General features: G+C 48.7%; 1 protein-coding gene across 17 annotated transcripts in view, besides 5 other annotated features; it reads left to right on the top strand.

Annotated features, from left to right (window-relative positions):
- The window catches only part of VOPP1 (VOPP1 WW domain binding protein), a 137539-nt gene that overhangs the window by 77366 nt on the left and 32729 nt on the right, over positions 1-27444 (top strand). For 8 of the 17 annotated variants that reach the window (NM_001321246.2, NM_030796.5, NM_001321244.2 and 5 more), the window contains 2 exons: positions 2719-2855; positions 22092-24524. In NM_001321246.2, coding sequence (NP_001308175.1) covers positions 2719-2855; positions 22092-22282 — 328 coding nt within the window. In that variant the 3' untranslated portion in view covers positions 22283-24524. Of the gene's footprint in view, positions 1-2718; positions 2856-16577; positions 16617-22091; positions 24530-27444 lie in introns of those variants that run through there. The other 9 variants (XM_011515539.2, XM_011515546.3, XM_011515540.3 and 6 more) reach the window with 4 other exon arrangements.
- Positions 864-2063: an enhancer, noted in NCBI's record as "CDK7 strongly-dependent group 2 enhancer chr7:55560767-55561966 (GRCh37/hg19 assembly coordinates)". NCBI's record gives its function as "activates an origin of replication core promoter dependent on BRD2, BRD4, P300/CBP, MED14 and CDK7 cofactors, with strong dependence on CDK7, by STARR-seq in HCT116 cells {active_cell/tissue: HCT116}" and the evidence as "EXISTENCE:reporter gene assay evidence [ECO:0000049][PMID:35650434]".
- Positions 6288-6788: an enhancer, noted in NCBI's record as "H3K4me1 hESC enhancer chr7:55556042-55556542 (GRCh37/hg19 assembly coordinates)". NCBI's record gives its function as "activates a minimal SCP1, AML or CMV promoter by ChIP-STARR-seq in naive H9 embryonic stem cells {active_cell/tissue: H9 hESC(naive)}" and the evidence as "EXISTENCE:reporter gene assay evidence [ECO:0000049][PMID:30033119]".
- Positions 16679-17229: an enhancer, noted in NCBI's record as "H3K4me1 hESC enhancer chr7:55545601-55546151 (GRCh37/hg19 assembly coordinates)". NCBI's record gives its function as "activates a minimal SCP1, AML or CMV promoter by ChIP-STARR-seq in primed H9 embryonic stem cells {active_cell/tissue: H9 hESC(primed)}" and the evidence as "EXISTENCE:reporter gene assay evidence [ECO:0000049][PMID:30033119]".
- Positions 21498-22164: an enhancer, noted in NCBI's record as "H3K4me1 hESC enhancer chr7:55540666-55541332 (GRCh37/hg19 assembly coordinates)". NCBI's record gives its function as "activates a minimal SCP1, AML or CMV promoter by ChIP-STARR-seq in naive H9 embryonic stem cells {active_cell/tissue: H9 hESC(naive)}" and the evidence as "EXISTENCE:reporter gene assay evidence [ECO:0000049][PMID:30033119]".
- Positions 26594-27095: an enhancer, noted in NCBI's record as "H3K4me1 hESC enhancer chr7:55535735-55536236 (GRCh37/hg19 assembly coordinates)". NCBI's record gives its function as "activates a minimal SCP1, AML or CMV promoter by ChIP-STARR-seq in naive H9 embryonic stem cells {active_cell/tissue: H9 hESC(naive)}" and the evidence as "EXISTENCE:reporter gene assay evidence [ECO:0000049][PMID:30033119]".

Raw genomic sequence — 27444 nt, 5'->3', positions numbered from 1 at the left:
GTGGGGTCTGGGCAGGGCTTGCACAGTAGCTGCACCAGTCCTTGGGACTGCAGAATTGAGAACTGCTACACTCGGGGCTGGGGGGTCGGGGGGAGGAATCAAAAAACAAATTGAATTAAAGTAACCAGGTAACTTCTAATGTTAAAAAAAAGGCACAAACCTTCCTCTCTTAATCCCTTTGAAAGCTTCCAAAACCTGCTGAGCAACCAAAGAGGACATCTAGGGAACAGCCAGCCCGTACCCCCAGCACTGCAAGAACTGCCTTTCTTACTACTACTCCTCTCTCCCAGCCAACACCCTGCTTCGTCTCTTTCCTTGTTTTTAGAAGCGCTTTCTCCTGCCCCTTTGTTAGTTTCTCTCTTTTAAAATAAGTTCTTGGCCTAGCACAATGGTGCACTTTGGGAGGCCAAGGTGGGAGGATCACTGAAGCCAGGAATTTGAGATCACTCGGCAACATAGTGAGACTCCGTCTCTACCAAAAATTATTTTAAATAAATTTTTAAAATAAACATAAATGAACAGAATAAGTTATCAGACTATGATTTCAGTAAGGGATGAAGTGGATCCCGTGTAACTCCATTCCAGCCTCGCCTTATGCTTGCTCACCATTAGTCTAAGGTGGGAGCTGCAATGTCATTTCCTTTTGTGTAGAAAAACAAAATGTTCTTACTACTGTTGGCAGTGGAACCGACATTTTAGCTTATTTTTTAGACAAGACTAAGATCTCAGGTGCCTTCTGCATTTTTCAATCCAGCGAGCCTGGTCTCTTGGAAGTGGCCAGTGGCTCTGAGAAAGTAAACCCTGTACACATCCAGCCTCTCTGTGCTTTGTATATTTCTACCCAGATACTAACAGCAGGACTCAGTGCTGAGTGTAAGACTGTCACTGAGCCCACCTGAGGGAAATCGGTTTTAGGAGAGGAAGCCGTTCCCTTTGGGAACTTAGTGAGTGTTCTTGATGCCGAGCACATTAAGCCTTACATCACCACACTCCTGAACGGTTTGGGTCTCCGGGCTCCCCATGGCCGCTCCCTCCGCCCATCATGGGGACTGAGCCTCCAGGCCTCCTGCTCCCACCTTCTCCGGCCCCAGTACCTGCTCTGTGTTCTTTCCACCCAGAATGCCCCTTCTTCCCCTTCAGCTTGTCTCTTCTCATTCTTCAGAGCCCAGCCCAGCTGTCACTAAAAGAAATGCAGTGTTCCCAGTCTTGCTCACCACCACAGATACCCTTGTTCAAACCTCTTGGTGCACTGAATTATACACTTAAAAATGATTAAAATAGTAAATTATATTTATGTATATTTTACCCAATCACACACACAGTATTCTTCTTGCATCGCTCATTTTTCTTTTTTAGCACTTACCAGGTTGTAGATAAATAATTGTAAAAGTTGGTATCTGTCTCCCTCCTCTGTAAGCTCAGTGTTGGCGGGGTCGGGGGGCCCCTCACCTGTCTACTCATTGCTGTGATCAGTATGGTGACAGGGCATAGCAGGCACCTGAAGATGACTTGCTGAATGAATAATGAATTAGACGGCAGATGACAAAGGCCACAGTTTCAGTCTTTCCTGAGTCATTCCTGTCTCGTGCCTCTGGCTTTTCTCCCTGCTCAGCCTTCCAAGATTATCCAGTAAATACTTTTGGACTGGCTGAAGGCCTTGACATCACATTAATATTCTCAAAGGCTTTATCGTACGCTCTTAAGAGCTTCTTTTATATGTGGACCAGTGCCACTGACTGCGACCCGCTCTGCTGTGTGCCCATCCTCACAGGGCAGCAGGTGCCCTCACCGTGTGGGTGTCTGCATGGCTTCTGGACAGTTCCATGGGTCCCCTCATAATTTCAGTTCAGAGATGGGCAAGAGTTTGCCAGTTTGCCAGTTTTGTCTACTACTAGTTCTTCTCAAAGTGACTCTCCTCTTTTTCTAGAAACAAAAAGTATGGTGCAAGTGAGGAATGGAAGGAAGCCATTCATGTGTTCATTCTGCAGTCGTTTACTGAATGCTGATGAAGTGATAGTCAATGAGAATTCACAGATGGGTTGGACAAAGGTGCTACCCTTAAAGAGTTCAGCTCTGCTTCTGTTATTGTTTGTATTTTATTTCTATTGATAGATTGTATTTCTCTTGATTCTATTTTCATTGATTGTATTTCTATTCCCATAGTTTCTCTGTAATTAAGGTGTGCTCCAGGAAGGGTACTTCTGTTTCCTTGTGGGTGTTGATGTGATAATGGAGACGTGGTCTGGAGGATAAATGTGCTCTGCCTTGGTGCTTTGACAGTGAAGAATGGAAAACAGAGACAGACAGCGAGGCCAAGGCTGGATCGGCCATGGCTTTCAGACAGGATTTAGATGGCATCTCCTCTTCTAACTAAAATGTCGAGCTGAGGTCAGAGCCGTGGACGAGGAAGTGACTGCATGAGCTTTTTCTTTTACGGTGCTTTTCAGGGTGGGTGGCCTCACCAGGGGCTGTCCCAGAGGCCGCAGGTCAAGCATCTACTTGTTGCTATCCACTAGAGGAATGTCCCTGGGTAAAATGGGCCCAAGAGGACCAAGTCTGAGGTGCGAGCCTCATGGCTCTGCCCTTGCCTTCTGACTCGTGCATTTGGGAGTCATTGGTCCCGGACCCCCGAGGAGTGCATGAGGCCTTTGAGCTGTAGGGCCAAGCCCTCAGGGCCCCCACCTGGGAGCACCACCCTCACGTCTGTACTCTCCTCAGGTTCCTTCTGATGATGGGCGTGCTTTTCTGCTGCGGAGCCGGCTTCTTCATCCGGAGGCGCATGTACCCCCCGCCGCTGATCGAGGAGCCAGCCTTCAATGTGTCCTACACCAGGCAGCCCCCAAATCCCGGCCCAGGTCAGCCAGCCCTGTCCTTGTCTCTCCTCCCCACAGTGTGTGTCGTCTGCCAACATTTATAAAGGGTACTGCTGCAGAAAGGGTACTGCCAGAAGAGAGCGCTCAGGTGTGTTATTCATTTTTTTAGTTCTGATGACCAGCTCCATTGTGCATTTGTGCAGATAACAAATGTAAGGTATATCGCACGCCCGTCACCTCATATTCTTACAGTTATCAGTGTGCCACATATGCACGTGATATGATGCAGTTTGTATAAGCGTATTATTTGCTCTCTGCCCTTTTCCTTAAACATTATTTCACATATAAATTTCTGTGTAGGAGCGGTAATACCCCTGCCATTTTTAGTGCTTCTGGACTAGATACTAATTATGTTACTAAATGGTAATTTGCTTAGATATTTTATTATTGCTGATAATTTGTTTTGTTTTCTCATGTTTTGTCTTTTATTCATGCATTCAACAAGTATTCATTGTGCAGTTACTAGTATTCCAAATACTTACAAAGACCATAGCAATAGACATTCTTGTACAGGTCACATGTAGTCTGTTTAGTGCATAACACCCAAAGTGACATCCCAGGGTCAAAATGAATTAGCTGTTTCTTAATTCTTGTAAAACATTGCCTTAGCCATCTAAAACTCCTACATACTGTGGTGGGTGGTGTGGACTTCCTTAGGACACAGGCCAGGGAGCTCTCTGATGACAGCGGGGAGCCAAGGGTCCTGGAGGGCTGGGCTGGCTCGGCTCATCAGAGCGCTGGTCTTCTGGCCAGGTGTAGAGTGAGGCTGGGCAGAGGGGTGTTGCTGATGTCTGCACCGCCATGCTCCCAGCCACAGTTTCCACCTGGGAGCCTGGGGATGGGACTGTCTATTGATTGCACACTGTGGATAGGTGGTCAGTTCTAGGAGCAGTGGATGCCTTCGCTTTTACAAAGTTTCAGTTAAGAAAAATGAATAAGTCCTAGAGATCTATTGTACAGTGTAGGACCTACAATTAATACAACTGTAATGTATAATTAAAATTTTGCTAAGAGGGTAGGTCTTATGTTAATATATGTTCTTATCACACAAAAATAACAAGAAGAGCAGAGAAAACTTTTGTAGGTAATAGAGATGTTTATGGAATAGAGCATGGCTATGGTTTTCTGGATGTGCCCCTGTCTTTAAACTCATCAGGTTGTAGGTCTTAAACATGCACAGCTTTTTGCCTGTCAGTCAGACCTCAATAAAGTGGTTTTTAAATAGGAGAGAAGTAGAGGGATTGAATGTAATAGGAGAAAATTATCTTCTCTCTTCTGTTTTCCTGAGAACAGGCTGTTATCAAGATGCAAAGTCATTTGCATATTTGTTCTTTTACAGCTTTTTTCCACCAGATACTCCACAGGGTTTTCCTTTCAGAAAGAATTTTCTTTATTTTAAAAAATGTTGCTCAGAAAAATATATATTTTCCACAGCAGTTCACTGAGAGCTGTGCCTTAAACTTACAGTCAGGTTAGTACCATTTTGAATCCGTAAGTGGATTTTAGCCTTTGATATTTGGAAATATTTGAATCGTTTCAGATTTGTGCTGCATCATAGGGTAAAGTGCAAAATTTCTGTTAAAATGAGAGATGAAAGCCGCCACTCACTGGGTCTCATCTGGATCAGTCAGAGAGGTTTTAGTACAGGGAGGAGCAGCCCCTGCCCCACTTGGCATGGGAGGCCCCACTGCCCCCAGTGCAGAAGGCCACATGTCCCTGGTCCGTGGTCCTGGCCGAGCTCAGAGTCTACCACTCATGTGAACTGGGGCTCTTGTGGTGAGTAGGTGAGGTGCTGAGACTGTGCCTGCAGCTGCATAATTCTTTTGAACCCTGGCATGCCAGGGTTTTGAGAAGAGAATGCATCCCTATGTGCACTCCTTTCTGGTCCCATCCCTCTGTTCTGCACAGCCCCACACCCCACCTAACCCCGCTCCATCTGTCTGGGAGAATCCCCAGCAACCAGGCGATTAGATCTGCCACATCCCTTATCTCACCCTGGAGCAGTGCCTGCTGGCCACTGGTCTCCACCAGCTCCTCTGTCTTCCACTTGGCTATCAGAAGGGTCTTAAAAAACAAAAAACAGAAGCACATCGGCCGTGCTATTTTTCTGCGGCAGGGTCTCTGCCAGCTCACCTGGCTCACAGTGTAAGTCCACAGTCCCTAGCTGAGGACTGAGGACGCATTCACAGCTTCCTCAGACCCATCCCCGCTCCTCTGTGTCCAGTTTGAGCGACCTCCTCTCTCTAGTCCTGCATCGCACTGAGGCCTGCACACGCCCTCCTTCTGCCTGGAAAATGCCTTCCTCCAAGGTGCTGCTCTGTGTTGTACCCATAGTGAAGTTGTCTCTGGCTGCTTCACATCTCCACTTTCTCCCTGGGTCCCCTGCCAGGGGCTTTACCAGCTTTAATGCTCCATGTTTACACTGGGCTCCCCACGGGGCTGTGTACAGGACTCATGGTCTCAGGCACCAAGTAGATGCCCGGCCCTCATCCTCAGGCTGGATGAACTGTGGGAGCTCCCAGGTTTGCAGCCTGGTAAACCAGGGTCGGAATACATCACAACTACAGTCACAGCCTGGAGCGCAGACCTGCCTGAATTGCTGTCTTGGCCCATATTTACTGCACACCTGCTGAGGCGCCTGCAGGAGCTCAAAACACTGCACAGCCTGGACACCTGCCCTCAGTCACCGCTGCATGCACAGCTCCAGCACCCGTGTGAGCTTTCACGCAAACAACTCTATAGTGACTGACCATCATGAGTGCGAGGGAGAGAAAGTTGAGAATGCTAGGAAACCATGTAAGTAGGAGACTCCATCTGGTGCACAACTCCAGGAAGGCTTCCCACGGAAGAGCCATTTGGATTAAGAATAAGTAAGCCCCCAGCTCTCTACAGCGAGTGGCTGCTGGTCCCAGCGCATCTTCTCTGACCAAAATGTAGACTTGGTTTGCCATCCGTTTTTCATTTTATACTTCTTGCAGGCCTGCAACGGTGTGGCTGATCCCAGGATATCCAGACTGTCATATGAAAGCAGGCTCCCAGGGCTCCCGGTAGTGTACAGTTTCCATCATTTCCCTGTCAGGTCCAGGGCTGGATCATTTGTTAACAGTGCTGAGCTTGGGAAGAATTCAGCTGTTTCCTAGACAGAGTAATAGTGAACAAAAGAATGGGGTCTGCAGGGTCCTGTCTGCTGTTGGTCTGGACACCTGCCTCCCCTGAGGGTGGCTTCACCCTGCTGCAGCTGTCTGCTCAGATCCCAGACTATCTGTGGCATGGGCCCTGGGGGCGTGGGGACTGAGAGGAGGGCCACACAGAGTTTGGCAGTCCAGGGAGAGAGAGGAGCCGAGGAATCCCAATGTCCCATGTGGTCCACAGGGTAAATGTCATGCCTGAGGCTGTCCGGGCAGTGCCAAGGTGTGCAGGCATCTGCACAAAGCAGGGTGGGTGTTAGTGAATTTTCAGCAGAGCCCCATTTTTCCTCTGCTGGTCTGAGAGGGGAAGTGGGTTCAGGCGTGGGATGCCTGTTAATGAAGATGAAAAAGCAGAGGGATTTAGAGGACCCAGACTCACCCACTGGGGCAGGGGGGGCAGTGGCTCATATTCTGGGGTGTAGGGGGGCTCGCATGGCGCTCCTGCTGGGACCAGCATCACTGATGAGCATGGGAAAGCAGAGAATCTGTGCATTGCAAAGAGGCTTCTGGTCGGGGAGGGGAGGAAATTGGCAGCATTGTGGTCCTGGGGGTTGGTGTGGGTTGGGGCAGAACTCTGAACGTGGTGGAAAGGGGCTGGCAAAGTCAGCAGGAGGCTGAGGTTCAGAGGTGGGGCTCCAGGCCAGCCCAGGAACCAGGACCCAAAGGCTGCAGCTGCTGGCCGAAGGGCTCAGGGCCTGGCCGGGTTGTGCAGAGGCTGGAAAGTGGGAGGAGTGTGGAGTAGCTGTGGTTTGAGGAAGAGGCCCTGGTCAGGGAGTTAAGAGGCCTGAGGTCTGTGAGACCCAGGGTAGGCCACGGTCCCTTCTAAACCTCAGCACCTTAACTGCAAAATGAAACGGTGTGCAGAAAAGCACTCCTCATTCTGTGTAATCTATGCATATAGTGTCAGCCAAGATGCAGCAGCAGCAGAAAGAGCTCCCTAAATGCCCAACCCCAAATCCTTCCCCATCAGGATGCTGGCAGGGTCCCACCAATATGTTTTCCTGGGTAGAGAGGAAAAAATTGTCTTCATTCATTTATTCACTCACTCTGAAAACATGAGCTAACTAGCTCCAGCCACTGTGTTCACACAGGTGGAGGGTGTGGGTGAGAATCCTCCCTGCTCTTTAGGAACTGTAGAACGGTGGAGAAAATGTAAAAGCCTAGGCTGAGGCAGCACTGTAGGCCTGGGGGAAGGAAGGGCTGGCTGGCTGGCTGGCAGGAGGTGGCCTCAGCTGAGTGTGGTGCCCCTGTGATTGAATGTGGCAAGGGGGTGGTTAAGGGAGCTCCAAAGAAAACGATGATTGAATTATGGTCCATCTTCTTTGTGGAATATTATGTGGCCATTAAAGTTCATAGTCAAGATCAAGACAATTTGCTGGTACGGCAAGACCATCAAGGTGCAGTTAGGGAAGAGAGCATTGGATAGTGTTTTTTGTGAAATGGTCATGAGGCTAGCCAGGCCCAGTGACATACACCTGTAGTCCCAGCCAGTCAGAATGCTGAAGTGAGAGGATGGTTTGAGGCCAAGAGCTCAAGACTGTAGTGTACTGTGATTAAGCCTGTGAATAGCCACTGTCCTCCAGCCTGGGCAACATAGCTTGACCCTGCCTCTAAAAAATGGTCATGAGTTCAACTATGGAATTCCACAGATACATAGAGAGAGATTGCGGAGGACAGTCAGTGAAATCTGTGGTGTTAATGTGATTCAAGTTTTCTTTAAAAATGATTTCCTTTAATGTGACTGAAGTGGATGGAGTTTTCCCATCGACAGATAGTTTTCTTCCTTTCCAGCAGCCATTTGTGGTGAGTTCATTTATAGGTTTCTGACTGTTCATTCTCATGTCTCAATCCTGTAATAAGTCTGTCAGCCTGCAGTGACTAAATGACACCAACTGCAAGAAAATGGAAATAGTAGGGAGGGTGTTTTGACAGTTTAATTACCCTCAAGTCATAGCCCAAGCACAAACAGGGCTGCTTCGGTTGTGAGGACATCTGGCTTCAGAACTGGTGGAATAAGCGTCATTCTTTTCCAACGTGACGGTGCTTCTGACGTGCGGGGATGGTGATGGGACAGCCTTACAGGCCACCTCTCCCCGGTCTCCAGCCCCTGGGGCTCCAGCATTTCCATTCTGGGTTTTTTCCTGAAGAAACAGCAGGGCAGATGGACCCAGGGTGTGTGGCCTTGGGGGGTTTGTAAGGGTCTGTTGCATTGTGGGGTCTCACACTCATTGCCTGCCCTGTGCTGCCCTGGGCAGCTGCCTTCAGGATAGAGATTTTTGAGTTTATGGTTTTGCTGAAAGAAATTAACTGGAAATACTTTTTTGTTTACAAATCACCAATGCCAATCTATTCATACATTCTCATGGCTACCAGAATATTCCTTACCTGTTCATCCCTGATGGCAGAAGGAAACTGGTTGATCAGGGTCAGGGTGAGGGGGTGTGGGTGTGGGAACTGTCTTACTTGGTGACGCCCAGGAATTGAGATGGCCTCCCAATATGGCGGGCCTCCTCACCAGCAGGAATGTGTTTCCACAAAGTCCTCCAGCTCTGTGCATCTGACATTCTGTCTCTGTCTCCGTTATTCTTACGCGGCACTTCTCTTTCCAGCCCCCGTGCTGCCCCTCCCCTCCCTGTGACCTCTGCCTTGCTATTATGGTTTGCACAGCCCAGTTTGCATAAAGTGGATACATCTAGAATGTTCTGCCATACAAAAGCAGCAGCTGTTTTTTTATCCATGTGAAAGCATTTAATGTCCTTAGCCACTATAAATTATGACAGATAACACACTTTGCACAGACTGTATTTCAAGAAGAATTTTTTACAGCCTGCCCTGTTGGTAGGCAATTCCTGTTGTTACATTACTCACAACAAAGCTTGCACATCTATGATCTTTGATCAGTGGGAACAGAAACTTACAGCAGATTTAAGTCCCTTGCCCACTGTCCTCTGCTTCGCCAGTGATGGGGCTGAGGTGGAGCCGGAGCCTCTGGCCCGTCGTGGTCCACTCATGGGTGCCTGCATCTGGAGGGACACACTGCACGTACCAAGGGTCTCCCTCACATTTGCTCACGCAAGCTCTGGGTCTGACAGGTCCCCCGCCCGCCTCGCTGGCTGCATTCCTCTCCCCGTGGGAAGCAGAGCCTCCTTCAGATCCCTTGTCTCCCGAGTCTACCATTGCACTTTTCTCCCTAAATGTATTAATATTTGAAATGGCTGCGTCCGGCCCTTCCGAGGGGCGGATGAGGGAAAATGTGGGCCAAACAAGACTGGAGGTCCCTTGTTGCAATGAGGTCTGCAGCCCCACGTGAGGTCCCTGTGCCTAACACGTCCAACCTGCCGTCTGTCACTAAGTGCTCTGTGAATGTACTGTGTGCACGTCCCGTGTGCGGGCGCCCTGTGTGGGCCCTGTGTGGCGTCACAGTGCAGCCACAGGACAGCCGGGGTTATGAGGCAGCTGTCCCCGGCCTGCAGCTCTGGGATGAGGACAGGGCGACAGTGACTTCCGACCTCCTCTCATAGAAAAACGTGGGTGCTGCACCACCCAAAGTGAAAGGCTGAATTTGGAAGTCCCTTTTATCATACACATTCAGATTGCCTGTGGAAATTCAGCAAAAATATGACATGCATTTCCATTCTATCTGCCTTTTACCTTCTCAACCTTAAATCGACTTTCAGTTCTGTGTCATGTTTTCTCTTCTTTTTAGAAGACTTCTAATGACTTGGGAAAATACTTTTGAAGGATGTGAAATGGTGTTTTTGTGTCTGCTGTTTGTTGAGTATCAGTATTTTCAGCCTTGGTTCCCTGTGGAGGAGAAGCTGGTGGGTGGGGAGGTGGGCTGGCTGCTTAGGTGAGACCTGCGCACGTGATGATGATTACTGAAAACAAAGCCAGGAGCTTAATTGGGCATGTGGCCATGGGGATTTGTTATTAATTACCTTTGATCTAACTTAGGCAAAAAGGGGAGAAAAAAATTACAGGGTCACAGAATCCCAGGGCTAATCCTAAAAAAACAAACAAAAAGAAGCCCTGCACAGTTTTAAAATGTTTCCAGTAATTATGTTTCTGGGAGCAGTGCTGGTTTTGTTGTGCTGAGACTGTCTTGCATGCTGTGGGCTGACGTGGGCTTGTGCTGTTGACAGCAGGAGAAGGTGCGTACTGGATTCATGTCCCGGGGCTGCCCTCACAAAGTACTACACAGACTGGTGGCTTAAAACAGCAAGAACGTGTCTTCCCCCAGTTCTAGAGGCCAGAAGTCGGTGTGTCAGTAGGGTGGGTTGCTTTGGGAGACTCTGAGGGAGTATGAACGCATACTTGTTCACAGTATTCTAAACGTCTTTTACAGTAACCATTGTCTTTGTAGTTATTTCTCTCTCCATTCTATTTCTGGGATGCCTTTTCTCTCTCTTTTTTGTTAATTAGCTTTGCTACATGTTCATTATATTACTTCAAAGAAAAAATGTCAAAAGAATCTCAAGGCTGGATGGGATTCTCAAGGGCACCCATCCCAAGCTCACCCCGTGCGAATAATCTCCTTACTCCACACCCAGCTGGCTGGCACAGAGACCACTCCACTGAGGACATGGTGCTGTCCTCAGCAGCTCCAGCCTGCACTGCTGCTCACCCCCACCCCCCAGCGACTGTAGGTTGGAGAAGTGCGTGATGAGATCATAAAGGAAAGCACCTGTGCTTCTCTAGGTTCAGTGAAGAAAGACTGGCAAGGGGGTGGAAGGAGGCTCACGAGGATGAATCTCCACAAAGTCAAGTCTGATGTGTTTGACAGTTCCTGGGATGTCTCTACAGTAGCTCCTCTTGAAATCTAAAGCAACATGTCCACATTCTAAACCACTTTCAAAGATAGTAATAAAAGTTAAAAAGTTGGGGGAGGTCAGGGAAACAGACTAGATAAGAAACAGCAAGGAAACAAAAACAAAACATGGCAGAGGAAGATCATCCACAGTCTATATTATGGCAGTGAAGAGGAATGTGTTAACACTCCTCTGTAAGAAGAAAAAGATGGCTGGGTGCGGTGGCTCTCGCCGGTAATCCCAGCACTTTGGGGAGGCTGAGGCAGGTGGATCACCTGAGGTCAGGAGTTTGAGACCAGCCTGACCGATATGATGAAACCCTGTCTCTACTAAAAATACAAAAATTAGCCAGGCATGGTGGCATGTGCCTGTAATCCCAGCTACTCGGGAGGCTGAGACAGGAGAATTGCTTGAACCCAGGAGGCGGAGGTTGCAATGATCTGATCGCACTGTTGCCCTCCAAGGCAACAAGAGCGAAATTCCATCTCAAAAAAAAGAAAAAAGAAAAAAGGACCAACATGTTGTGTTAAAATCAACATCCAAGTATATTCTGCTTTAATGAGAGAGGCTAAAGAGCATGACATGGGAAAGTAACAGAATTCACCAGGAGGGATTAGCAAAGAAGGGGCGGGGTCAAAGGTGACTTGAGAGCCACATAGGAGAGCTTTTGGAGAGAATCATAAACCTAAGCAAAGGAACCCGAGAGAGAGCTGTAAGAGGCACTGCCCTATTTGGCCAGGGTGGGGCATTGGGATGGTGAGGACAGAGCAGGGATGGGGTCCTTCCTGGGCCCAGAGTTCATGGAACTTACTGAAGGGTTGAGTGAAGGGAAGGACCTACCCTTCATGACTCAGATTCCCCCTCTGTAATGAGGGATGATAATCATAACATGTTATCAGGATCCATAGACACTTATCAACTGCCTCGCACCTGCTGGTCAAATTACAGCCTGAAGACATGCATGGTCCCTGGAGCCTGTTAGAAATGCAGGCTCTCCCTCACCCCAGCGCCACCCAGAGCCGCTGAGTCAGGGTCTGTATTTCAGCAAGGTGAATGATGAAATAGGTGATGCAGGATGCCCCCTGCACTGAGAAGCGCTACAGGTTTGATGAAGACACAAGCATTGAAGGATGGGCTGTGCTGGCCACAGTCATACAAGTTCAGCATTAAGAATAGCGTGAGCACCTGTGAACTCTGCAGAGCCGGAGTGAAAGTTAGTGCTCGTCTCTTGGAATAACATGACTGCTTTTACTCTAATTTCTGGCAGATGCTTGAGGATCTGCTCTGTGTAATGCACTGGAATTCTCTTTATTAACACAGTTATTTTTGCTTTTGTTTTTAAAAAATCAGCAGCAGCAAGCAAAACCGTTGTCTTCACTCAGCTTCTGATTTATACAGCTAGGAAAGAAAAAGTGAAAACTTAGTGTGGGGGTTTCATTTTCTACTTAATCTTGCTCACTAAGTTTGTCTGTGCCTTTTCTTGTGGGACATTAGGGCCCCAATGTCTTAAAGCAATGTTCACATGCATCTCAGCTGTGTTTCAAGTGTATGGTCTCTGTAAACCCTAACAGGTCGGCCTGAAGGCTGGGTGCCTAATACCCACATGTTTTTAACTCCCTTCCTCCTCTTGGCCGGACGCGGTGGCTCACGCCTGTAATCCCAGCACTTTGGGAGGCTGAGGCAGGCGGATCATGAGGTCAGGAGATCGAGACCGCCCTACCTCCCTGACTAACACGGTGAATCCCCATCTCTACTAAAAATACAAAAAAAAAAAAAAAAAAAAAATTAGCCAGGTGTGGTGGTGGGTGCCTGTAGTCCCAGCTACTCGGGAGGCAGAGCTTGCAGTGAGCCTAGATAGCGCCACTGCACTCCAGCCTGAGGGAAAGAGTGAGACTCCGTCTCAAAAAAAAAAAAAAAAAATACCTCCCTTCTTCCTCTCTTCCCCAAAAGGCAGTAGCAGGAGGTTCTTTTTTGTAATGGATAATGTATGTACCTCAAGAGGAAATGTACAGCGTTATACAGTGGAAGAAGAAATATACAGTCTGCAGTCCAATTCCCTTCCTCCCGCTTATCAGTTTTTTTTTGCGTGTTCTTTGAGAAATATTCCATAGATTTACTAATATATGCATATGAAAAGGAAGTCCTTTTAATACTGATAAAAATCACCTTTTATAAAAGGTGAAGATACAATAGTCATGTCTTAATTTTCAAAGTATGTAAAACAAAAATGTAAAAATATGACAGAGTGATGGAAACTGTAGGAGTGTCAATGCATTGCTATTAATCTGATCAAAATGTAAAAATAAATGGAACATTTGAAAGAAGCGCTTAGATTTTGTACTACAAAGGTGTCCGAATACGTTTGTAGAAGTAGAAGCTGCATACCTCCGGATACTAGGGGCTTTGTTTCAAACTTCGTGCTTCTGTGGCGATTTTCGGAAAGTTGCTCAGTTCTCTGAGCCTCAAGCCCCTGAAGCTGGGATCCTAAGAGTACTTCCTTCGTGTCCCCTGCTGAGCACAGGGCCGGAGAGTCAGCACTCACTGAGGGGCAGTAGTTACTACTCCCAGTAGGACACCTGCAGTTTGTAGATGTCTGTAAATGAACAAATGCATGCTCTGCACCCACTTGGAAATAAAAGACTAGTCCCATAAATGATGTATTGAGTCAAAAAGGTGGGAGTGGAGGACCCTGCAGTGCTGGTTCTTTCCTCCGCCCTCTTTCCAGGCCCCACCTCTGTTCTTCCAGGGCTCCAGCCAGGAGCCTTGAGGCCAGTTGGCCTTTTCTCTCGACACCACCCTGGCTGCTACCACCCTTTATTCAGACTCTGATGAGAGCCTCCCTGGTGGTTCTCTTGCTGCCTCTTGCTTCCAGCAAGGCAGCCAGAGTCACAGCAGGAGCCAGGGCTTGTGCTCCCAACACTCTCATGGGCCCACTGTGCCACAGAAGCACTTTGAGAGGCCAAGGAGGCCCTCTCTTCTCTCAGCACCCCTCCTGGCTGCCCAGCGGGCTCTGGCCTCTCCTGTGGCCCCTCCTGGCTCACTCCCCTGCTGCCACTCACTGGCCTGTGACTTGTCCTGAGACCCTCCAGACAGCCATTCCTCTGCCTAAAAGTCTCTTTCTCCATGGACACGCCCAGGTACACGGCACGCTCCTCCAGTACCTGCTGCCTGCCCCTTCTGCCCAACAGTTCCATTTCCTTGAGGTCCTTCACCTCCTCATGAGGCCTGCAGACACAAGGAAGAATGGCACTGCCCTTCCCCCTCCCCTGTTGGCTTTTCATTTTTCAATTTTCCTGCTTTATTTTCATCTTTAGCACTTATCACCAACTAACCTATTTTTCTTACCTTGCTCATTGTCTCTCTAAACTGCAAGTAACGTGAGAACTGAGATTTTCAGTTTTTGTCATTGTTACATCCTCAGTGCCCAGAACAGTGCTGGCACTCAGTGAGAATTCAGTCTTTGTTGAACACACAAATGGACATAGGCATCAGTGAAAGGAATGCAACAGCATATGCAGTACATGTTCAGCCAATTTTTAGAGGTATTAATAGATTCATAGCTTTATTCTGTTAAAAGTTTATGAAAAAGCAAATGAACTGAGCTCTCCTCAAAAGAGGCTCAGAAATTAATAAAGTCACAGAAATATATAAAGAGTGGGTAAAATTAAGCCTGGGAAGTAGAGATGGGAGAAATTATAAATGAAATACAAATTAATTGTAAAAATCAGAAAAATATAATTATAAATCTAAGTTAGCAGTTGATAAAAAGCAATAGAGCAAATCACATTGCTTGTTCCCCTCCTGATAAATCTAATCAATAAAGGAGAAGAACACAAAAATAAAAGCATAAATTAAAACACTACAGATTCAAAGGAGTTGAAAATCACAAGGAAGTATTCATGAATTGGAAAATCTGGTAAGATGGCAAAGTGCGTAAGTACTTTATGATACCAAAGTGCGTAAAGACATTGAAAATTTCAATAACTCAAAAAGCAAGCAAGAGCTTGAAGACATTTTCAAAGAATTATCTCCCAGAATGTCTTTAAGTTCATATGGCTTTTTTGAAACTTTTAAGAAACAATTCATTTTAATGAATGTATCAATTACTGCAAATCATAGGAATGCTACGTATTCATGTTGTAAAGTTAGTATAACTTGGGAATAAACACCAAAATAAAATTATATCGAATCATATTTAGGAAACTGAATTAAGCAATGTGTCAAAATAGTAAACCATCATAACCAACCATGATCTTCTTAACAAAAGATCGTTTTATTTTAGGCACGCAATTAACATTGTAAGTTATATCAGAAAGCAATGATTGTCTCAGTAGGTGCTGAAGAGGCTGTCAGCACAATTTGATATATATTCCTTATCAAAACTCTCTCAAAACTAGCCATGTAAGGCCTTTTATTAATGTAATAAAGACCTCATGTAAATTCCTGGGTTCCAGGCTCAAGCCTTCCACTGTGTGCTCCATGTTACCAGCTATGCCTTTTGAACGGGAGATGTTGCATAAATAATTGTTGAGTATGCACTTTAGATTCTTTGCTAACATCACATTTGGTGAAACTATAAAATAATTCCCATGAAAATTGGATTGCTTAATATCATAACTGATATTTAATAATATTTAATATTGCTCTAAAATTTCTGGCTAAAATGAAAATATTCAACCATCAGGAAGGAGAAACAAAACTATTACTGTTTGTAAACAGTTTATCATCAGTACTTACCTAAAAATCCTGGAGAATGAGCTCAGAAATATTTCTAAGAGTTGAGACAGTTTAGCAAAATGAACAGATACAACCTCAAACCAAACCAAACTAGAAAGCTCAGAGGACACAGAAATGCCAGTACTGAGCTGGCAACACCTCTGTTGTTTGTGAAAATGTTCTCTGGAACACATGGACACAGGAAGGGGAACATCACATTCTGGGGACTGTTGTGGGGTGGGGGGATGGGGGAGGGATAGCGTTAGGAGATATACCTAACGCTAAATGACGAGTTAATGGGTGCAGCACACCAGCATGGCACACGTATACATATGTAACTAACCTGCACATTGTGCACATGTACCCTAAAACTTAAAGTATAATAATAAAAAAAAAAAAAAGAAAATGTTCTCTGGAAGAGGTAGTTCAAGGCTTTTGGCTACAAGTAACACATACCTCAATTCAGCCAGCTTCAAAAATAAGAAAGAATTGTCTCTTACGATAGAAAGTCACATAGAGGAAGGGCCATGGTTTAACTGCATGGCTCAGCAGCATCCTCGGGCCGGGCTCCTTCCATGGGCCCCTGCTGCCCCCCTCAGCTCTTCCCCCTCCAACTCTCCTTCCTGGCTGAGAGAGGTCCGCCTGGGTCCTCACAGATGCAACAGTGTCCACTGGAAGGAGAGTCCCTTGAGCACATTGTGTAATTTATTTGGACTTCCGCTTTTGAATCTGTAAAATTGAAATAGTGTGTATCTCATAGCATTCCTCGGTGGCTAGAATGACAGGCTGTATGTGAGATACATGAATCTGTGAGGAAAATGCACTTAGCATGTCATGGGACCCTGAGGTCCTGGTTCTATTCCATGCTTCCTGCACTGAGAGGTACTTGGTTGGAGGCAGGCAATCTGAATGCTCTCCCCAACATCCGGTCAGTTCTCATTTATCTTGGTCTTTCATTTTCCCTCACCCATTTTTTTGTTTCTCCCTTTCAGTTTGCAAACCATTCTCCTTGGGAGAGAATACCATTTAAGGTAGTTTCTTTTGCTATTTGTTTTATTTCTTAATCTTCTTTATTCTCTGTGCACATGCAAAGCCCCCTTTTTTGGCTAGAGTCATTGCTTCAAGCTGCAGCTCCCTTGGGCTTTTTTTTCCTGACTTCATTCTGTATTTGCTCCTGGTAATAATCTCATTTTGTAATTTTGCTCTTTAGTCACAGGGCTTCATTTGGGACACTCACATTTTTGTTCTCTTTGTGATTATTTGTGATTAAGGAGTTGAGGTTATGACTTTAAGGTGCTTTTGATTCCAGAGCCATGTGCCATATAATCATCTGTGGTTTGTGGGAATGTCTTTGCCGTGATCTCTCTGAAGTCTGTGGGCACATTCCAGACCGTGCTGGTCTTCTGTCCGCAGGCTTCATGCAGAGAATGAAGTGTCCTTGCTTTCTCTTTCCTAAATGAGTCTCTGCCTCTGTGAGAACTGGGTCCACCTTCTCTCGGTTGCTCTTCTTTGTGGGAGCCTGAATGGTAAGCATGGCCAGCGTCCTGTGAGGAGTTGTAGCCAAATGAGCAGAAGCTGAGCAGCTGTCTGGGTGGGTGCGGCCTCTGCATGCTGCTTCCGCGGCCGCGCTGCCTCCACCTGGCCGGGGTCCCTCAGCTACTCACATGAGGCTCCAGCATCCGGCCCTGCTGCCCTTTAACCTCAACTGTAGCCTCTCCAGCGTGGTCACCAATTTTTTAACCTAAGGGTTCATGTTCTTGACAAGTACACAGTTTATTCATTTTCTATCCGTTCTCTTTTATATTCCAAATACCTCTCCATCTCCATGTTCAAATATTTCAATCCCGTCCCACCAGTTCCTGGTAGGATCCATCACTGTGTCTATGAACACGAAGATACCGATTAGACTGGATGCAGGTGCTGGTGTTTCTGGTTCTGCAGCGTGAGTGGCCACATTGCAAACATAGCCTGGCTGCCTCTCTTCTACAAAGACCACACTCCCGCCCCTCCCTCACCTGCAGCAGGGGGTTGGGATCCTCCCCTCGACAGGAGCCACGGCCTTGGCACAGGCTTGCTGAGTGGGGCAGCCAGTCACTCCTGTCATATCAGAAACAGGTGTGTCTCAGGAAACCCATGCACACCCAGCACAATCTGGCAGCGCCAAAGTCCAGATCCAAGTCGCCACTCGTCCCCCCTTCAGTCACTCCTCCCGTGTATTTATGGAACGTCTGCCACATGCAAGGTGCCGTTCTGGGCTCTCAGGGAACCAGGGTGAGTGATGCTCTGTCCTCGTGTTCAGAAGGCTCAGAAAATCATACCATACTAGGCAACTGCTGCATACTCATGGACGTGCCTTGTTCTGGGTACCAGAGGACAGGGGTGCCTGCTCAGCTGGGAAGGCAGTGACAGGCAGCAAGAGGGGGCTGCCTGGTGATTCTGAGCTGAGACTGAAAGATACATGGCAATTAGCCAGACCAGAGGCTAGGAGGTGCCTGGCATGAGGTGGTCACAGGCATTCCAGGAGACACGGTTTGCATGGTGAAAGCCTGGGATATGTTATCTAGTGAGGGCCCAGAGAGGGCAGACCGGATCCAGGCAGTGTGGTTACTGCTGGAGATGGAGAATAGGGCAGGCGGTGAGACACAAGGCTCTGAAGTGGGCAGGAGCCCATCATAGCAGGCCCTGTCCCTCTGGAGAGCCCACCGTCCCATGAGTGATTGGTGGGGAGGAATGTAGGGCCAAGCCTGCCACAGCTTGGGTGGCAGGAACGAGCTCTGCCCCTGGTGCCCTGTGTTGAGGCTCCTGCCCATGGCTGGAGGAGCAGCTGGGCCAGAGGGGACAGAGCAGGGAAGCCAGGGCATGGCTGGAGAGGAGGAGAGGTGAGACCAGAGACCCACGTGCCCTGAGTTTGGAGGGGCTGACTAAAATGGTGTGGGGATCCTGGTGTAACTGGAACGCTGTCAGGAGTCAGGCCCCTGGGCCCCTGGCCTCTGTCCCTCCTGGGCCACATACTCTGTCAGCTGCCTCTCCTTCTCCCTGCATTTCCACCCCTCCCTCTGCGGCCTGCCGGACTCTTTTGCATCCCCAGGAAAGATTGGCCCAGCCCCCCCGCCCACCCCCCCGACACGCCACTGGCCAGTCAGCTGGGCTAGAGAGGTGGCAGGTCCTGCTAAGAATACAGGCTGCCTGGCCATCCCCCTGGCACCCGTGGGGCTGGGCCAGCTCACTGAGAAGGGGTGATTGTCAGTTAACATCACAGCGTGTCCTCCCAGTCTTTGCTGAGCCTGGAGCTCCCTTTCAAACCATGCCAAGACTCCCACTGAGGAGGAGATGATGACGTTCAAAGTAAAATGACTCCAGCATTGTCCAGAGACAGATGACATGCCAAGGGTGTGAGTGCAGCCCGGCTGGGAGGCTGGCTGTGGTGGCCTTTAATTCTTAGACGGCGCTCCACACGGGCCCGTGATGCCCCCAGTCTCCTGTGGCTCTCCCATCCCACCCTTGCCTGAACTTCTTCCCCCACTTCACCATCCTGTTTCAAGAGACGCCTGTCATCATAGGGAGAGTCTGACTTTCTGGTTCACTACTGGGTTCAAGTCCTGGTGCTGCTCTAGCGGTAGCGTGACCTTGGTGAGGCACTCACTCTGGCAGAGCCTCTGTTCTCCCACCCAATCCCCATCCCATGCCATTCCCCACCGTGCACACACGGCACAGGCTGGCCTGATGAACACTGGTGACGTGAGGGGCAGCCATGGTTTTACTCACCTCTCCTTACCCTTTCTACCCCATCTTGTGGAGAAAGTCTTTCTGCAACCCCAGCCTCTTCCTAGAATGTTTTGTGTGTTTTCTTTAACCCAACCATCAACCACAAACCAGAACTGAAGGGCTCCTCCCAGGGCACACCCTGTGTAGGGAAGGGAGGGGTGGTGGAGTCCCCTTGCTCCTGGCTGTCACCTCTGTGCAGATTGTCCCCACCACACCGAATCCTGCACCAGTGGGCCTGTCGCTCCTTGTCACTATTTTGGCTCCCATCTGTGACTGTAACGCACTGCTCCCTTCGTCCTTGAGGCTTTTGGTCAGTTCTCCTGTTGCCCTTTCCCACATCCCTGTCAGCAAATGAATCACCTGGACCTGCTTCGCCCGGCAGTGGAGGCTGCCGGCCATGTTCACCCACCGCTCCGCCAAACCTGTGGTGGCCGAGTCCCTTGCTGTGCTTTTCAGGGCCACACCCCACATGGCTCTGCCCACTCGGCCCACTGTCTCGGGTGCCTTCCTGTGCACCAGCTCCCAGCTAGTAGGCTCCAAGTGCTTTACCAGAGGCCATTACCCTCACCGAGCTGTGTTCTCCCCGAAAGTTCTCTCTGTCCTGTGTCTGTCCCTACCCCTGCCCATATGCGCAAGCGTTTCCATCCTTACAAAGGCACCTTCTCTTGCCCTGCGTGCCTTCCAGCTGCCACCCGTCCCCTCCTACAGTCTTCACCCACACCCTGGACTGTTTCTCCCTACTGCAGCAGGGACCTGTGTCTACCATGGTGTGAAACTGTAGAGAAAGAGCACGGGAACCCCAAGGCTACAGCCGTGCTTATTTCCATCTCTCTTCAGCTGGGGAGAGAACATCACTTCTTCCTGAAAATTCTCCCACCCCTTGCTGCCCTGGCTCCTGGTGCACCACCTCCTGCCGCATCTTCCCATTGCCTATGCATCCTTCTCATCAGCCTTAGACACTTCATGCTCCTCTCCTGGCCTCAGTGCTGCTCCTTCCTGCAGCCTTCTCCTGGACATGCCCATGTTTCCACCACCACCTTCCCACAGGAGGCTCCAGCTCCAGAGCTGCCTCCGCCCTCTCCAGTCCAGCAGGGACTTTTTCATCTGCCCCGCCCTTGTCCTGGTGCTGCTGTAGCAGTAGTGTGACCTTGGTAAGGCGCTAATTCTTGCAGAGCCCCTGTTCTCCTGTATTGCCCTGCCTGTTGGGGGGCCCTTATTGTGAGCAGAACCTAGGGCCTTTTCTTCTCAGCCCTTGTCTCCCACGCTGTGCGCTCCCCATCGAGTCAATCCCAGGCCAGTCATTGCCGACAGCCCTCAGTGCCTCATTCTCTCTTCTCCATTTTTTCTCTAATATTCAGAAGCCTTCATAATGTCTTGCTTAGACTGTTGCAATGCCCTCTTTTTAAAAATCCTTGGTTTTTTAATTGTATAACATATAGCAGGATCCAGATCTAAATAAAACATAATCTCTGCCCTTGCGAAACTCATGGTAATGGCAGTAAGTCGACTTCTAAATAGAACACACCCAAGGCAGCGGGTGAGATGCATCAGAGCAGCGCAGGTGGCATCTGTGGGACCACACGGCATCTCACTCAGGTGGTGTCTGTGGGACGGCACAGATGCAGGGCGAGGCAGCCTCTCACACAGGGTGGCATCTGTGCTGAGTGCCCTCCTGGCAGTTGAGAGCGCTCAGTGAGAGACAGTGCAGGCCTGGCCTGTGCTTCTGTTCTACATGCTCTCCTTCCGCACATGCGCAGATTCCCATGGTCTGACTTATGTGGGCTTTGGGACATCTTGTGTACCTTGATGGGCATGTTTCTAGAGTCAGAACTATATCACACTGTGTCAGGGGGAGAATTGCAAAAAAAGAAAAAAAACCCTACACAATATTCACACAGGGGCAGCTTCTTTGACACTTGAGTGTCTCCCTGAGCTAAAGGAAGCCTCACTTCAAAAACACCTGAGTCCTGTCACAAAATCAGCTATACCCAGGGAACACCCAGCACTTTCACGGTTTTGTCTGATTCTTTATTTACATATGCATAATTCTATAGTGTTAATCTGCATGATCACAGTAAGCACACTGAAAACAGCACCTCAGAGTGAGGGCTAGATTTGGGGTCGGGTGTCCAGCCTGTACCCTCCTGTCACCTTCTGTGGTGCCCCCGTGCCCTGCTCCTCAGCTTGTCACTAGGGAGTCAGCCTGCGGCTCCGCTCCTGACCCATGGAGCGTCAATCAGCTGCAGCCTGGCTATGTGTGCCCAGGTGCACGGCCTCCCTGCCTGTGAGTAACTCCTGCCCTGAGGGCACACTAGCCCGGCAGGGAGAATGGAGACCTTACTTCAGAAATGGTCACCAGCCAATGGCGTGCCCAGAGGGGTTGTGGAGCTCCTGCGATAATGCCAGGCTGAGTCGCGAAGCCTGGGTGGTCTTTGCAGCTCTTCCGATAGTTCACCGCAGACAGCCTCACCTTACTGTGGCCCAGTTTCCTCCACCCTAATGTGTGAACTGGTAACGTGGAATGTAGTCCAGTAGAATCAAAGCCCCGAGAGGGCAGGGACCTGCCTATTGTGTTGCTTGTCACCACAGCCCAGGTGCCCCCTCACCGGGCATGTTGGGTCCTTCATACACTGTCGCTGAGTGAATGACGGGGCGTGGTCTGCTGGCCCTGCAGCCTGCACATACTTGCGGTGTGATGGGGCTTTCCCTTCTGTGCTCACCTATGTTTGTCTGTCTTTCAGGAGCCCAGCAGCCGGGGCCGCCCTATTACACCGACCCAGGAGGACCGGGGATGAACCCTGTCGGGAATTCCATGGCAATGGCTTTCCAGGTCCCACCCAACTCACCCCAGGGGAGTGTGGCCTGCCCGCCCCCTCCAGCCTACTGCAACACGCCTCCGCCCCCGTACGAACAGGTAGTGAAGGCCAAGTAGTGGGGTGCCCACGTGCAAGAGGAGAGACAGGAGAGGGCCTTTCCCTGGCCTTTCTGTCTTCGTTGATGTTCACTTCCAGGAACGGTCTCGTGGGCTGCTAAGGGCAGTTCCTCTGATATCCTCACAGCAAGCACAGCTCTCTTTCAGGCTTTCCATGGAGTACAATATATGAACTCACACTTTGTCTCCTCTGTTGCTTCTGTTTCTGACGCAGTCTGTGCTCTCACATGGTAGTGTGGTGACAGTCCCCGAGGGCTGACGTCCTTACGGTGGCGTGACCAGATCTACAGGAGAGAGACTGAGAGGAAGAAGGCAGTGCTGGAGGTGCAGGTGGCATGTAGAGGGGCCAGGCCGAGCATCCCAGGCAAGCATCCTTCTGCCCGGGTATTAATAGGAAGCCCCATGCCGGGCGGCTCAGCCGATGAAGCAGCAGCCGACTGAGCTGAGCCCAGCAGGTCATCTGCTCCAGCCTGTCCTCTCGTCAGCCTTCCTCTTCCAGAAGCTGTTGGAGAGACATTCAGGAGAGAGCAAGCCCCTTGTCATGTTTCTGTCTCTGTTCATATCCTAAAGATAGACTTCTCCTGCACCGCCAGGGAAGGGTAGCACGTGCAGCTCTCACCGCAGGATGGGGCCTAGAATCAGGCTTGCCTTGGAGGCCTGACAGTGATCTGACATCCACTAAGCAAATTTATTTAAATTCATGGGAAATCACTTCCTGCCCCAAACTGAGACATTGCATTTTGTGAGCTCTTGGTCTGATTTGGAGAAAGGACTGTTACCCATTTTTTTGGTGTGTTTATGGAAGTGCATGTAGAGCGTCCTGCCCTTTGAAATCAGACTGGGTGTGTGTCTTCCCTGGACATCACTGCCTCTCCAGGGCATTCTCAGGCCCGGGGGTCTCCTTCCCTCAGGCAGCTCCAGTGGTGGGTTCTGAAGGGTGCTTTCAAAACGGGGCACATCTGGCTGGGAAGTCACATGGACTCTTCCAGGGAGAGAGACCAGCTGAGGCGTCTCTCTCTGAGGTTGTGTTGGGTCTAAGCGGGTGTGTGCTGGGCTCCAAGGAGGAGGAGCTTGCTGGGAAAAGACAGGAGAAGTACTGACTCAACTGCACTGACCATGTTGTCATAATTAGAATAAAGAAGAAGTGGTCGGAAATGCACATTCCTGGATAGGAATCACAGCTCACCCCAGGATCTCACAGGTAGTCTCCTGAGTAGTTGACGGCTAGCGGGGAGCTAGTTCCGCCGCATAGTTATAGTGTTGATGTGTGAACGCTGACCTGTCCTGTGTGCTAAGAGCTATGCAGCTTAGCTGAGGCGCCTAGATTACTAGATGTGCTGTATCACGGGGAATGAGGTGGGGGTGCTTATTTTTTAATGAACTAATCAGAGCCTCTTGAGAAATTGTTACTCATTGAACTGGAGCATCAAGACATCTCATGGAAGTGGATACGGAGTGATTTGGTGTCCATGCTTTTCACTCTGAGGACATTTAATCGGAGAACCTCCTGGGGAATTTTGTGGGAGACACTTGGGAACAAAACAGACACCCTGGGAATGCAGTTGCAAGCACAGATGCTGCCACCAGTGTCTCTGACCACCCTGGTGTGACTGCTGACTGCCAGCGTGGTACCTCCCATGCTGCAGGCCTCCATCTAAATGAGACAACAAAGCACAATGTTCACTGTTTACAACCAAGACAACTGCGTGGGTCCAAACACTCCTCTTCCTCCAGGTCATTTGTTTTGCATTTTTAATGTCTTTATTTTTTGTAATGAAAAAGCACACTAAGCTGCCCCTGGAATCGGGTGCAGCTGAATAGGCACCCAAAAGTCCGTGACTAAATTTCGTTTGTCTTTTTGATAGCAAATTATGTTAAGAGACAGTGATGGCTAGGGCTCAACAATTTTGTATTCCCATGTTTGTGTGAGACAGAGTTTGTTTTCCCTTGAACTTGGTTAGAATTGTGCTACTGTGAACGCTGATCCTGCATATGGAAGTCCCACTTCGGTGACATTTCCTGGCCATTCTTGTTTCCATTGTGTGGATGGTGGGTTGTGCCCACTTCCTGGAGTGAGACAGCTCCTGGTGTGTAGAATTCCCGGAGCGTCCGTGGTTCAGAGTAAACTTGAAGCAGATCTGTGCATGCTTTTCCTCTGCAACAATTGGCTCGTTTCTCTTTTTTGTTCTCTTTTGATAGGATCCTGTTTCCTATGTGTGCAAAATAAAAATAAATTTGGGCATGTGCTTTGATTGTTTTGTTGGGGGAGTGGGAAAGAGGGTGGAGATGAAGTTTCTAATGAGGAAGGGTGTACAGCAGATCCTTGGTTCAGTGGGGTGAGGTGGGTGGAGGATGCACCTGGTCTCAGGGGAACCAGAAACTAGATGTTATTTGAGAATGTAAGATACAAGCTATGGAGACAATTGTCCCCAGTGGGTAGGAAGACAGAAGCATCGCTGAAGTAATGTACTGTTGATACTGTAAGTTAACCTTGAGCTAGGGCTGTTTTTCACAGGTCGGGGAGCCTTCATCTTAAAACACAGCTCTGCTTGGTCAGAAATAACACTTCTCTCACAGATGCTGCTGAAGGGTGTAGCTGCTACAGTTAAACTGCATTTTAATTATTTATTTTTTATTTTATTTTGTGTTTTAGAGATGGGGTCTCACTGCGTTTCCCAGGCTGGTCTCAAACCATTGGCCTCAAGCAATTCTCCTACCCCAGCCTCTCAAGATGTATTTTAGATGTATCACTAATTGACATAATGTTTGCAAAGAAGCATTTTCTATTTTGCTTCCTTTTTGTTTTTTTAGAGACAGGGTCTTGTTCTGTCACCCAGCCTGGCATGCAGTGGTTCAATCATAGCTCACTGCAGCCTCAAACCTCTAGGCTCAAGCGATCCTCCCACTTCCCAAAGCCGTGGGATTACAGGCATGAGCCACAGTGCTTGGTTTATTTTTGCCTTCTTAAAGCATGGGTCCTAGAGCATGGTCCCTCCCCTAAAAGTCTGTAGAGCATTTGGGGATCACAACTGTGTCCATCCCTGGGAGACGGGCAGTGCACACAAGTATATTGAACAGTCTGAGAAGCATCTTAATGCTGTTTAATCCAGCACTCCCCCAAATTAGTAGGCCATACAGTTCTTTTCCTTGTAGCAGGCAGTGCTGGCAGTAAGCACACCACTTCTGCCCACCCCATATTTGAGGACAGCTGCCCTGAAAGGCAGAACAAAGAAAGGGCAGCAGTGCTCCCAACTCTGTTATTCTGCACCCTTGCAGCTGGGCCTTTTATCAAAGTGCTGTTCTCAGGCAGGGCGCCGACAAATCCACTGACTACTTGGCACTGTGTGTGGTTTTTGAAAGTCTGTTTGATTTTTTTAATATATTTTGCATCTGTTTTCACCTTTAAAAGGCAGCTGCAAATGACCCATTTTTGTGATAAAACTAACTCAGAGTACAGGTGCAACCCCACTGATGTAAACAGCTTTTGAGGCTTTGAGGTTTTAGATGACAGTCATCTAAAACACCAGCTTCTCAAATACATCAGCTTCAGGCCTGGGCTGAGCCTGAGGAGCCTCCTAGGAAGTTAGAGATTTTTGAGCTCAAAGGGCTCAGGAGAGGCCCAATAGTTTTCATGCTTCATTAACCCGAAGGCTTCCCGACAATCGTCCAAGGGTTCCTCAAATGCTCGACTACAAAATAAAATGTTATTTGACCACTTCTAGGCATTTTGTCCTGAAAAATTTAAAGCATACAGAAAAGCTGAAAAAAAATTACCGTGAACACTCATAAACCCACTACCTAGATTCTACAACTATTTATACTATAAAAACTAGTGTACTTTAAAAGAAAAAACTAGTGTACCTTTTCTGACACTTTATATGCTGTATTTTAAAGCTTTGATAGTCACTTTGATCCCAGAATAAGGTAAAAATTAGTTTATCCTCAAATACTGTGACCTGCCTCTCCCTTTTCATTGATCCTAAGCACAGTTCTAGTCAAATCCTTCGAACACTGAGATCTGACCTGCCCATTTTGCAGGAAAACATTATCTTCCCTCCTGTCCCGTGGTACCCTGGGGCTTCACTCCTCCCTTAGGCCAAAGACCTATCTCCACATTGGTGTCATTGACAGCCACTCCTGTGGGGTCCCATGCATGCTTACCTGCAGCTGCAGCTGACGCGGCCCCGCCCAGGCACTTCCAGAGGGGTTCCATCCTGGGCCACCTGCTGGGCCCATCCTCTAGCCCATCCCATAGTTGCAATCCAGTCGCTCATCCAGACAAACCTTCAGGTCCCTCCGAGGTGTGTCTGCCACCAGTAACCATGACTGTTGATCCATCTCATGAGTTTCCAGACCGTTGCACCTCCGCTGGGAAGGGCCAGGCCTCAGCCTTTCCTTGGAAGCTCCTTGGTGCCTCTGCAATTTGCCTACCTCCTCTTGGGGCAGCCAGCACTGCCACCATGGGCCACTTAGAGGGGAAGAGGGAGCTGTGGGCTCCAAAGGCCCCATCATGTTCTCCTCTCCTCCTCAGGGCCTCTCTTTTCTTTCTTTCTTTCTTTTTTTTTCTTTTTTTTTTTTTTTTTCTGAGACGAAGTCTTGCTCTGTCGCCAGGCTGGAGTGCAGTGGTGCAATCTCAGCTCACTTCCACCTCCTCCTCCCGGGTTCAAGGGATTCTCCTGCCTCAGCCTCCTGACTAGCTGGGACTACAGGCACATGCCACCACACTCAGCTAATTTTTGTATTTTTAGTAGAGATGAGTTTCACTACGTTAGCCAGGATGGTCTTGATCTCTTGACCTCGTGATCCGCCCGCCTCGGCCTCCCAAAGTTCTGGGATTACAGGCGTGAGCCACTGCCCCCAGCCAGGGCCTTTTCTCCTGTTAAAAAATGTTTTAGTTACTCTTCAGCACTTCAGTACGTATTCTGAAAAAGAAAATACCAGTTTAGCTTGTTTTATATACTGGAATCCTGCCATCAGTTTTACCTGATAGAAGGGGTGTATTACAGGAACAGGTTTGATGGATACTAATCTCATTCACGACCCTCGTCATGTGAACGGAAAGTAAGCCAGAAGAGGCTGAGCAGCTCACCTGACATCACAGCCACCTATGGGAAAGGAGACCCCACCTGGCCAGCTTCCTCCAGTAAAATGGAAGCAGACGT

This window comes from Homo sapiens, chromosome 7, assembly GCF_000001405.40.
Source record: "Homo sapiens chromosome 7, GRCh38.p14 Primary Assembly".
NCBI classification, from domain to species: Eukaryota; Metazoa; Chordata; class Mammalia; order Primates; family Hominidae; genus Homo; species Homo sapiens.
This window is presented reverse-complemented; position numbering and strand designations above follow the sequence as displayed.